The sequence below is a fragment of the Homo sapiens genome, chromosome 1, assembly GCF_000001405.40.
Source record: "Homo sapiens chromosome 1, GRCh38.p14 Primary Assembly".
Classification (NCBI taxonomy): domain Eukaryota; kingdom Metazoa; phylum Chordata; class Mammalia; order Primates; family Hominidae; genus Homo; species Homo sapiens.
The window spans coordinates 157,052,201-157,066,121 of record NC_000001.11 but is presented as its reverse complement, the minus strand read 5'-3'; the positions used below and the strand labels follow the sequence as shown (position 1 = coordinate 157,066,121).

The window sequence follows — 13,921 nt, the reverse complement described above, 5'->3', positions numbered from 1 at the left end:
ACAATTGCTACAAAGAGAATAAAATACATAGGAATCCAACTTACAAGGGATATAAAGGACCTCTTCAAGGAGAATTACAAACCACTGCTCAAGGAAATAAAAGAGGACACAAACAAATGGAATAACATTCCATGCTCATGGATAGGAAGAATCAGTATCATAAAAATGGCCATACTGTCCAAAGTAATTTATAGATTCAATGCCATCCCCATTAAGCTACAAATAACTTTCTTCACAGAATTGGAAAAAAAACTACTTTAACGTTCATATGGAACAAAAAAAGAGCCTGCATTGCCAAGACAATCCTAAGCAAAAAGAACAAAGCTGGAGGCATCACACTACCTGACTTCAAACTATACTACAAGGCTACAGTAACCAAAACATCATGGTAGTGGTAGCAAAACAGATATATAGACCAATGGAAAAGCAAGAGGTCTCAGAAATAACACCACACATCTAACCATCCGATCTTTGACAAACCTGACAAAAACAAGAAATGGGGAAAGGATTTCCTATTTAATAAATGGTGCTGGGAAAACTGGCTAGCCATATGTAGAAAGCTGAAACTGGATACCTTCCTTACACTTTATACAAAAATTAATTCAAGATGGATTAAAGACTTAAATGTTAGACCTAAAACCATAAAAACCCTAGACGAAAACCTAGGCAATACCATTCAGGACATAGGCACGGGCAAGGACTTCATGACTAAAACACCAAAAGCAATGGCAACAAAAGCCAAAATAGACAAATGGGATCTTATTAAACTAAAGAGCTTCTGCACAGCAAAAGAAACTACTATCAGAGTGAACAGGCAACCTACAGAATGGGAGAAAATTTTTGCAATCTACCCATCTGACAAAGGGCTAATATCCAGAATCTACAAAGAACTCAAACAAATTTACAAGAAAAAAAACAACCCCATCAAAAAGTGAGCAAAGGATATGAACAGACACTTCTCAAAAGAAGACATCTATGCAGCCAACAGACACATGAAAAAATGCTTATCATCACTGGTCATCAGAGAAATGCAAATCAAAACCACAATGAGATACCATCTCACGCCAGCTAGAATGGCAATCATTAAAAAGTCAGGAAATAACTTTGTCGGAGAGGATGTGGAGAAATAGGAACACTTTTACACTGTTGGTGGGAGTGTAAATTAGTTCAACCACTGTGGAAGACAGTGTGGCAATTCTTCAAGGATCTAGAACTAGAATTACCATTTGACCCCACAATCCCATTACTGGGGATTATATACCCAAAGGATTATAAATCATGCTACTATAAAGACACATGCACGCATATGTTTATTGTGGCACTATTCACAATAGCAAAGACTTGGAACCAACCCAATGCCCATCAATGATAGACTGGATAAATAAAATGTGGCACATATACACCATGGAAAACTATGCGGCCATAAAAAAGGATGAGTTCACGTCCTTTGCAGGGACATGGATGAAGCTGGAAACCATCATTCTCAGCAAACTATCACAAGGACAGAAAACCAAACACCGCATGTTCTCACTCATAGGTGGGAATTGAACGATGAGATCACTTGGACACAGGGCAGGGAACATCACACACCAGGGCCTGTCGGGGGTTGGGGGGCTGGGGGAGGGATAGCATTAGGAGAAATGCCTAATGTAAATGATGAATTATGGATGCAGCAAACTAACATGGCACATGTATGCCTACGGATCAAACCTGCACATTGTGCACATGTACCCTAGAACTTAAAGTATAAAAAAGAAATCCAAAATTAAATAACATAATCCATCACATCAGCTGGCTAATGAAGAAAAATTACATGATCATATTAATAGATGCAGAAAAAGCATTTGACAAAATCCAACATCTATTAAGGATAAAACTCTCAGTTAGCTAGGAATAGAGAGAAATTTCCTCAATTTGAGAAAGAATATCCATGAAAAAAAAATGCCAGGCATGCAAAGGAAATTATTGCCTACAATAGGAAAAATATCAGTCAACTGAAACTGATCCAGAAATGATACATGAGATAGAATTAGTACCCACAAAGAATTATTTTAACTGTATTACACACATTCAAGAAGCTAAAGGAAAGACTGAGCATATTAAGCATAGACATACAAAAAAATGTAAAAAGAACCTAATTGAAGTTCTTGTTATGAAAACTCTAATGTTTTAAATGAAAAATACACTGGATATGATTAATAGCAAATTAGACATAGCAGAAGAAAAGATTAATGGATTTATAGAATAGCAATAGTAACTATCCAAAATGAAGCATAAAGAGAAAAAAAGACTGAAAAAAAAAAGAGATTCAGTGAGCTGTGAGACACTTCAAGTGTCCTATTACACAGAAATTAGTTTCCAAAGGAGAGGAATGAGATGAGGGAAACAGACAAAAATATCTGAAGAAATAACAAAAATTTACCAAATTTCATGAAAACTATAACCCACAGATCCAAGAAGCTCAATGAACCCGCAAGTAAAGAAACTACATTAAGAACATCATAATCCAATTGTTTAAAACAATAGATAAAAAGAAGATTTTGAAGGAAGCCAGAGGAAAAAATACACATTACATACAGAAGAATAAAGATAGGGTATAAAGATGATTTCTCATTATTTAAAAAAAAAATGCATGTTAGAAGATGGCGGAGCAACATCTTTTAACTATTAGAAGAAAATAAACTGTCAACTTAGAAACCTTTAACTCTACATGTCCTTCAAAAATAAAGACAGGACCAGCCTGACCAACATGGTGAAACCCTGTCTCCACTAAAAAAAACACACAAAAAAATTAGCCGGGCATGTTGGTGTGCACCTGTAGTCCCAGCTACACAGCAGGCTGAGGCAGGAGAATCCTGAACCCAGGAGGCAGAGGCTGCAGTGAGCCGCGATTGCACCACTGCACTCCAGCCTGGGTGGCAGGCCAAGACTCCGTCTCAATAATACATAAATAAATAAATACATAAATAAAAAAGACAGGCCAGGCACGATGGCTCATGCCTGTAATCCCAGCATCTTGGGAGGCTGAAGTGGGAGGATCAATTGAGCCCAGGAGTTCAAGACCAGCCTAGGCAATATGGCAAGGCTCCATCTCTACAAGAAATAAAGACAATTAGCCAGGCATGGTGCATGCCTCTTGTCTCAGCTGCTCAGGAAGCTGAGGTGGGAGGATTGTTTGAGCTTAGGAGGTCGAGGCTACAGTGAGCCGTGATTGTACCGCTGCAGTCAGCCTGGGTAATAGAGTAAGACCCTGTCTAGAAAATAAATAAATAAAATAAAACATTTTCAGGCATACGAAAGTTGAAAGAATTTATCATCAGCAGACACTACACAATAAGAGATGTTAAAGGAAGTATTTCAGGCAGAAGGAATGATACCAGATGAAAATCTGGATTTATACAAAAAAATGAAGAGCACCAGAAATAGTCAGTATGTGGGTAAATACAAAGATTTCTATATTAATTATTTAAATCTCTTTAAAAGGCAATTGACTGTTTAAAACAAAAAGAATAACAATGTAATGTAGAATTTGCAACAAATGTAGAAGTAAAATATATGTTAACAATAGCACAAAAGCTGGGAGGAGAGAAATAGAAGGGTATTGTTACGGGTTATTATATTATATGCAAAGTAGAATAATACCACTTGATAGTAGTAAAGAAAAATTAATGCGTACTATAATAGCACAACAAAAAGTTATAGCTAATAAGTCAATAAGAGAGATTAAAATAAATCATTAAAAATATAACCATATATCTTAAGAAACTAGAAAAAAAAGAGCAAACTAAGCCCAATGTTAGCAGAAGGTAAGAAATAATAAGAGTAGAGTGAACATAAATAAAAAAGAAAATAACAGAAAATGGAGAGAGTCAATGAAACCAAAACTTGGTTCTTTGAAAAGATCAACAAATTAACAAACCTTTAGCTAGGTTGACAGAAAAAAAGAAGACTCAAAATACTAAAATCAGAAATAAAAGTTAGGACATTACTACCAATTTTACGGAAGTAAAAAGGATTATAAAAGAATACTATGAACAATTGTATGTCAACCAACTGGAGAGCCATGCTGAAATGAACAGACTTCTAGAAACACACAAATTACCCTAACTCGAAAAGAAATAGAAAATCTAAATAGACCTGTAAGTCATATGGATATCAAACCAGTCATAAAAAACCTCCTGCTATGGACTAACTTATGTCCCACCAAATTCATATGTTGAAGCTCTAACCTCAGTATGATGATATTTGGACATGGGGACCTTTGGGAGGTTCAGATGAGGTCATGAGGATCAGGCCCTCATGATGGGATTAGTGTCCCTATTGGAAGAGATTTGAGAGCTTTCTCTAGTTTTTTTCTCCACCAGGTAAGAATACAGTGAGAAGGCGGCTATCTGCAATCCAGGAAGAAAGTCCTCACCAGAACCCAACAGTGCTGGTACCCTGATCTTGGACTTCCCAACCTCCAGAACTGTGAAAAACAAATGTCTGTTGTTTCTGTCACCCTGTCTGTAGTATTTTGTTATGGCAGCCCAAGCAGACTAATACACTTTCCAACAAAGAAAAGCCCCAGGACCAGATAACTTCACTAATAAATTCTACCAAATATTTAAGGAGGAATTAGTATAAATTTTTCTCTAACTCTTCCCCAAAATTGAAGAGGCAGGAATACTTCCTAACTCATTCAATGAGGCCAGCATTACCCTGATACCAAAGCCAGATAGGGAAACCACAAGAAAATTACAGACCAATATCCCTTATACAGACGCAAAAATTCTCAACAAAATACTAGCAAACTGAATTCAGCAGCATATTAAAAGGATTATACACCATGACCAAGTGGGATTTATTCTCAGAATGCAAGGATGGTTCAACATACAAAGATCAATCAATGTAAAATACCTCACTAATAGAATTAATTTTAAAAACCATGATCATCTCAATTGATGCAGAAAAAGCATTTGACAAAATCTCACATCCTTTCATGATAAAAACACTCAATAAACCAAAAATAGAAGGAAACTTTCTCAGCATGATCAAGACCATATATGAAAGATCCATACTCACTGGTGAAAGACTGGAAGCTTTCCCCTAAGGTCAGGAATGAGACAGATTCTTCCACTTTCATCACTTCTATTCAAAATAGTCCTGTAAGTTCTAACCTGAGCAATTACGCAAAAAAAAAAAAAAAAAAAAAAAGCCATCCAAATTGGAAAGGAAGGAGTAAAATTATTTCTATTAGCAGATGATATGGCATTATATGTAGAAAACCTTAAAGAATACATACACAGAAATAGTTAGAATGAATAAACAAATTCAGGGGAGAACTGGGGCCTGCTCCCAGAGAGATACAGCTACGTTGATCAAAACTGAATCTTCGGATGTGATCCACCTTATCATGCAGTACTTGAAGGAGAACGGTTTACATCGGGCATTAGCCACCTTGCAGGAGGAGACTACTGTGTCTCTGAATGCTGTGGACAGCATTGAGAGTTTTGTGGCTGACATTAACAGTGGCCATTGGGATACTGTGTTGCAGGCTATACAGTCTCTGAAATTGCCAGACAAAACCCTCATTGACCTCTATGAACAGATTGTTCTGGAATTGATAGAGCTCCGTGAATTGGGTGCTGCCAAGTCACTATTGAGACAGACTGATCCCATGATCATGTTAAAACAAACATAGCCAGAGCAATATATTCATCTGGAGAACCTTTTGGCCAGGTCTTACTTTGATCCTCGTGAGGCATACCCAGATGGAAGTAGCAAAGAAAAGAGAAGAGCAGCAATTGCCCAGGCCTTAGCTGGTGAAGTCAGCGTGGTGCCTCCATCTCGTCTCATGGCACTGCTGGGACAGGCACTGAAGTGGCAGCAGCATCAGGGATTGCTTCCTCCTGGTATGACCATAGATTTGTTTTGAGGCAAAGCAGCTGTCAAAGATGTGGAAGAAGAAAAGTTTCCTACACAACTGAGCAGGCATATTAAGTTTGGTCAGAAATCACAAGTGGAGTGTGCTCGATTTTCTCCAGATGGTCACTATTTGGTCACTGGGTCTGTTGATGGACTCACTGAAGTATGGAACTTTACTACTGGAAAAATCAGAAAGGATCTTAAGTACCAGGCCCAGGATAACTTTATGATGATGGATGATGCTGTCCTCTGCATGTGTTTCAGCAGAGATACAGAAATGTTAGCAACTGGGGCCCAAGATGGAAAAATCAAGGTATGGAAGATTCAGAGTAGACAATATTTAAGGAGATATGAGAGGGCACACAGTAAGGGTGTCACGTGTCTAAGCTTTTCTAAGGATAGCAGTCAGATCCTTAGTGCTTCTTTTGACCAGACAATTAGAATTCATGGTTTAAAATCTGGGAAAACCCTGAAGGAATTTTGTAGCCATTCCTCCTTTGTTAACAAAGCAACATTTACACAAGATGGACATTATATTATTAGTGCATCCTCTGATGGCACTGTAAAGATCTGGAATATGAAGACCACAGAATGTTCAGATACCTTTAAATCCCTGGGCAGCACTGCAGGGACAGATATTACCGTCAACAGTGTGATTCTACTTCCTAAAAATCCTGAGCACTTTGTGGTGTGCAACAGATCAAACACAGTGGTCATCATGAACATGCAGGGGCAGATTGTCAGAAACTTCAGTTCTGGTAAAAGAGAAGGTGGGGACTTTTCTGTGCCCTCTCTCCCCGTGGTGAATGGATCTACTGTGTAGGGGAGGACTTTGTGCTCTACTGTTTCAGTACAGCCACTGGCAAACTGGAAAGAACTTTGACAGTGCACGAGAAGGATGTGATTGGTATTGCACATCACCCTCATCAGAACCTGATTGCTACCTACAGTGAAGATGGACTCCTAAAGCTCTGGAAACCATAATTCAACTTTTCTTTTTAAATCAGCTTGAAAGCACGTACTTAAATGAAGGCATATTCATGTAATGTGCTTTTTTTTTTTTTGCCAGCTTTTCTAAGCAAATAGATTGTCTGAATTAGTCACAAGGATAATTTTGTGAAAATTCATGTTTAAGTAGCAAGTACCCTTCCTTTTCTTATATATTTTTAAGGTATTAGTTTATCTTCTTCTAACTGGGGCAGTCACTTAATGTTTTCATTAATCTTCTACCTGGAGAGTGAAATACTGATATTTCTAGAAAAAAATTTTACTCCTTTGATTATTTGAAATGCTGATTAAAATGTCCCTCCCATAGTAAAATTTATAAATAAGGAAATATATCATATTCAGTAGCTGTGTTCTGTTCCATCTTTTTTTTTTTTTTCTTTTTTTGAGATGGAGTTTTGCTTATTGCCCAGGCTGGAGTGTAGTGGCACAATCCTCGTTCACTGCAACCTCCGCCTCCCGGGTTCAAGCGATTCTCCTGCCTCAGCCTCCCGAGTAGCTGGGACTACAGGTGTGCAACACCACACCTGGCTAATTTTTTTGTATTTTTAGTAGAGATGGGGTTTCACCATGTTGGCCAGGCTGGTCTCAAACTCCTGACATCAAATGATCCACCCGCCTTGGCCTCCCAAAGTGCTGGGATCACAGGCGTAAGCCACCGTGCCCGGCCCATCTTTTTTTTTCTCTCTTTTTTTTTAAGATGTTAATAAACTTTATACCTTTCTGGGAAAAAAAATTCAGCAAAGTTGCAGGACATAAACACACAAAAGTCAGTTGTATTTATACACACTAGTAGTGAAGAATTTCAAAATAAAATTAAGAAAACTATTCTATTTTTCAGAGAATCAAAAAGAATAAAATACTTAGGAGTGAATTTAATCTAGGAGGTAAAAGACTTATACACTAAAAACTACAAAACATTGCTGAGGGAAATTAAGGATGACCTAGACAAATGGAAAGACATCCCATGTCTATGGGTTAGAAGACAATATTGTTAAGGTGCCAATACTACCCAAAGCAATCTACAGAATCAATGCAGTCCCTATCAAAATCTCAAGGGAGTTTGTTTGTTTCAGGGTTTTTGGTGGAAATAGAAAAACTTATCATAAAATTATTTGGAATTTCAAGGGATCCCAAATAGCCAAAACAATCTCAAAAAAGAACAAAGATGACTCAAACTCCTCAATTTCAAAACTTACTACAAAGCAACAGTAGTACTGGCATATAGACATATAGACCAATAGAATAGAATAGAGACCCAAGAAATAAACCCTCATATATATGTTCAATTGATGTTTGACAAGCATATCAAGACCATTCAATGAGGAAAGGCAATCTTTTAAACAAATAGGACTGGGAAAAATAGATATTCACATGCAAAAGAAAGAAGTTGGACTAAATCTCACAACTTTTCATGATAAAACCCTTACCTTACACCATATATAAAAATTAGATAAAATGAATCAAAAAACTAAGTTTAAGAGGCAAAACTATAAAACTTGTAGGAGAAAACAGACAGGAATATCTTCATGACTTTGGATTTGGCAATGGTTTCTTAGATATGATAATAAAAGCACAGGCAATGAAAGAAAACATAGATAAATTGGGCTTAATCAAAATTAGACACCTCAATGCATCAAATGACACTCACAAGTGAAAAGCCAACACACAGAATGGGAGGCAACATTTGAAAATCATATATCTGACGGAATTATATCCAGAATAAATAAAGAACAACTCATCAACAACAAAACAATCCAATTCAAAAATGGGCAAAGTTTCTCCAGAGAAGATATACAAATGGCCAGTGAGCACATGAAAAGATATTCAACATCATTTGTCATAAGGGAAATGCAAATCAAAACCACAATGAGATACCACTTCACACTCAAAACAAGGGAAAACAAGTGTCCTTGGCAAGGATGTGGAAAAATTTGCACCCTTGTGTGTGGATAGTGGGACTGTACAATGGTACAGCCACTGTGGAAAGCAGTTTGGTAGTGTCTCAAAAAGTTAAACATAACTGGGCACGGTGGCCCCCACTTGTAATCCCAGCACATTGGGAAGCTGAGGTGAGAAGGTCACTTGAGCCTAGGAATTCGAGACCAGCCTGGGCAACATAGTGAGACCCCATCTCTAAAAAAAAATTTAAAAATTAGCCGAACATGGTGGCACACACCTGTAGTCCCAGCTACTTGGGAGACTGATGTGGGAGGATTGCTTGAGCCCAGGTCAAGGCTGCAGTAGGCTACGTAATGTCACTGCACTCCAGCCTGGGTGACAAAGTGAGACCCTGTCTCAAAAAAAAAAAAAAAAAGTTAAACATAGAACTACCATACAATCCACCATATAATCCAGCAATTCTCCTCCTAGGTATGCATCCAAGAAAACTGAAAACAGAGACAACCATGTACTTGCACAAAAGCCAAAATGTGGAAACAACTCAAGTGCCCATCAACAGATGAATGGATAAACAAAATGTGGAATAATTAATATACACATGGTGAAATATTATTCAGTTATACAAAGTAATGAAATTCTGATATGTGCTACAACATGGATAAAACTTGAAAATATTATGCTAAGTGAAATAAACCAGATACAAAAGGACAAATATTATATGATTCCATCTCTATATGAGATGTTTAGAATTGGCAAATTCATAGCAACAGAAAGTAGATTAGAGGTACCAGGGGCTACAAGAAAGGGGAAATGGGGAATTATTGCTTAATGGGTACAGACTTTCTGTTTGGGAAAATGAAAAAAGTTCTGGAAAAAGATAGCATAATGATTACACAATATTGTGAATATGCTTAATGCCACTGAATTGCACATTTAAAAACGGTTAAAATTATAAATCTGTTTTATATATAGATATATATGTTATATATATAAATATATGTTTTATATATATAACATATATAACATATATTTTACCACAGTAAAATACACTCAATCCAAAAGAAGGAAGAAAAAATGGAAGAAAGAACAGATGGACAAAGAGAAATATAATAGCAAAATGGTAGATTGAAACCCAAACCAAAACAATAATCACACTGACTGTAAATATACTAAACAACTCAATTAGAAGGCAGAGATTGTCAGACTGGGGGCGTGGAGAAAGCAAGACATGACTATGTGCTGCCTACTAAAAACCCACTGTATTAGTCCATTTTCACACTGCTATAAAGAACTACCTGAGACTAGGTAATTTATAAAGAAAAGTTTAATTGAGTCGCGGTTTCTCAGGCTTAACAAAAAGCATGACTAGGAGGCCTTAGGAAACTTACAGTCATAGCAGAAGGCAAAGGGGAAGCAAGCATGTCTTACCATGGTGGAGCAGGAGAGAGAGAGACAGCGAGGGAGGAACTGCCACACACTTTTAAACCATCAGATCTCATGAGAACTCACTCACTATCATGAGAACAGCAAGGGGGAAATCAGCTCCCAAGATTCAGTCACCTCTCACCAGGCCCCTCGCCCAACATGTGGGGATTACAATTCAAGATGAGATTTGGGTTTGGGTGGGAACACAGAGCCAAACCATATCGTCCACTTTATGAATAGTTCCCTTGCATCAGAAGAGAAAAAAGAAATAAATAAACCCACTTTAAATGTAAAGACACATATTAGTTACAAGTAAGAGTGGAAAAAGATATACTATGCTAACTCTAATTTTAAGAAAGTTGGAGTGGGGCCAGGTGTGGTGGCTCATGCCTGTAATCCCAGCACTTTGGGAGGCTGAGGTAGGCAGATCACTTGAGGTCAGGAGTTTGAGACCAGCCTAGGCAACATGGTGAAACCCCATCTCTACTAAAAAATACAAATATTAGCCAGGTGTGGTGGTGCATGCCTGTAATCCCAGTTAGTTGGGAGGCTGAGGCAGAAGAATCGCTTGAACCTAGGAGGCAGCGGTTGCAGGGAGCCAAGATCACACCACTGCATTCCAGCCTGGGCAACAGAGGGAGACTCCATCTCAAAAAAATTAATGGCCAGGAGTGGTTGCTCATATCTGTAATCCCAGCACTTTGGGAGGCAAGGCAGGCGGATCACCTGAGGTCAGGAGTTTGAGACCAGTCTGGCCAACATGGTGAAACCCCGTCTCTACTAAAAATACAAAAATTAGCCAAGTGTGGTGACACAGGCCTGTAATCCCAGCTACTCGGGAGGCTGAGGCAGGAGAATTGCTTGAACCCGGGAGGCAGAGGTTGCAGTGGGCCGGTATCACGCCACTGTACTCCAGCCTGGGCGACAGAGCAAGACTCCACCCCAAAAATAAATAAATAAATAAACAAATAAATAAATAAAGTTGGAGTGACTTTATTAATATCAGAGAGTACATTTCAGAGCAAAGAATATTATCAGGGTTAAGGAGAGTCATTTCATAATGATATAGGAGTCAATTCATGAAGAAGATGTAATAATCCTAACCATGTAGGCACCTATTAACATAGCTCAAAAATACATGCAACAAAAATGGATAGAACTGAAAGAATAGACAAATCCATAATTATAGTTAAATAGCTCATTCTCTCTCTCTCTCTCTCTCTCTCTGTGTTTCTCTCTCTGTCTCTCTCTCTCTCTCTCTCTCTCTCTCACCCTCTAATTCATCAAACAAATAGAGAGAAAATCAGTAAGGCCATAAAGGCTTGAACACCACTACTAACCAAACTGTCCTAACATTTATTAGAGCACTCCACCCAACAGTACAAGAATGCATGGAATATTTACCAAGATAGACCAGATTCACTGCCATAAAACAAGTCTCAATAAATTTAAAAGGATTCAAGTCATACAAAGTATGTTCTCTAACCACAATATAATTAACTTAGCAATTAATAACAGAAAAATACCTGGAAAAGTCCCCAAATATTTAAAAACTAAGTAATTCACTTCTAAATAATCCATGGGGTCTTTTTTTTATCTTTCTTTCTTTTTTCTTTTCTTAAAATAGAGACAGAGTCTTGTTATGTTGGCCAGGTCGTTCTTGAACTCCTAGCCTCAAGCAATCCTCCTGCCTTGGCCTCCCAAAGTGCTAGGATTACAGATGTAAGCCACTGCACCTGGCCCATGAGTTTAAACTGAATGAAAATGAACACAGAACATAGCAAAATTTGTGGGATGTAGGTAAGACAGTACTTACAGAGATATTTTTAATGTAAAAGTGTCTATATTAGAAAAAAAACTCAAATCAATAACCTCAGCTTTAACCTTAAGAAACTAGGGGGAAAAAAGCAAAATGAAATCCAAAGTAAGCAGAAGAAGGGAAAAAATAAATGCCAGTGCAGAAATTAATGAAACAGAAAAAATTAGGGAAAAAATCAATGAAACCAAAAGGTACTTGAGAAGATCAATACAATTTATAAAACTGTAGTCAGACTAGGGAAAAAATTACAAATATCAGGAATAAAGGAAGAGATCAGATTTTATACATATTAACAACATAGTAAAGGAATATTATAAACAGCTGTATACTGAGATATTCAACAACTTAGATGAAATGGACAAATTCTTTGCAAGACTGAATCTATCAAAGCTCTCTCAAGACAAAATAGATAACACAAACAGACTTATTTCGTATATCTATTATATTCTTATATCTATTAAGAAGATTGAAATTTTAGTTAAAACTTTCCTATGTAAAGGAAACTCCAGATCCAAATGGTTTCACTGGGGTATTCTACGAAACATATAAAGAAGGAATAATGCCAATTCCACACAAAGCCTTCTAGAACATGGAAGAAGAGATAATTCTTCCCAACTCATTCTATGAGGCCAGCATTATTCTGAAACTAGACAAAAACATTATAAGAAAAGAAAAGCAGCTGGGCATGGTGGCTCACACCTGTAATCCCAACACTTTGGGAGGCCGAGGTTGGTGGATCACCTGAGGTCAGGAGTTCGAGACCAGACTAGCCAACATGGTGAAACCCCATCTCTACTAAAAATACAAAAATTAGCCAGGCATGGTTGCACGCACCTGTAATCTCAGCTACTTGGGAGGCTGGGGCAGGAGAATTGCTTGAACCCAGGAGGCGGAGGTTGCAGTGAACTGAGATCACACCCCTGCACTCCAGCCTGGGCAACAAAAGCAAGACTCCATCTCAAAAAAAAAAAGAAAAGAAAAGAAAAGCTACAGACCAGTATCTATCATGAGTATCATGAGCACATATGCAAAATCTTTAACAAATTTTTAGCAAATCAAATCCGACAATGTATAATAAGATTAATACATCATGACCAGGTAGAATTTATCCCAAAAATTCAAGCCTGGTTCAACACTGAAAATTCACCATATCAACAGGCTAAAGAAGAAAAACCACATAATCATGTCAACTAACGCAGAACAAAGAATTTGATAAAATACATCTATTCTTTTTTTAGAAAAAACAAATGTTATTGTGTATATTTGAGGTTTATAACATGATGTTATGGGATACATATTGAGAGTAAAATGATTACTATAGTGAAGGAAGTTACCATATTAATCATCTCACGTATTTTCTTTGTATGACAAGAGTAGCTAAAATCTACTTATTTAACAAAATTTCCTAATATAATACAATTTCAACTATAGTCCTCATGTTGTACATTAAAACACAACTATTCTTTGAAAGCTCCCAGCACACTAGGAACAGGAGAGAACTTCCACAACCTGATAGAAAGAATCTAAGAAAAACCTACAGATAATATCATATTTAATTGTGAAAAAACAATTGCTTTCCCCCTAAGATGAGAAACAAGGCAGGGATGTCTTATCTTAGTAGTTCTATTAACATTGCATTAGATGTTCTAGCTAGTGCAATAAGACAAGAAAAAGAAAAAGAAATAAAGGGAGTGCAGATTAGAAAGAAAGGAATAAAACTGTTATTATTCTCAGATAACATAACCATCTACTCAGAAAATTTGATGGAATTTACAAAATACCCACTAGAACTAATAAATAGGTTTACAAGATTGCAAGATACAGATCAATATACAAAAATAACTGTGTTTCTATGTACCAGTA

General features: G+C 37.2%; 1 pseudogene; it reads left to right on the top strand.

Annotated features, from left to right (window-relative positions):
- Nucleotides 5,318-7,412, top strand: SMU1P1 (SMU1 pseudogene 1; annotated as a pseudogene).
- The last annotated feature ends 6,509 nt before the right edge of the window (nucleotides 7,413-13,921 follow it).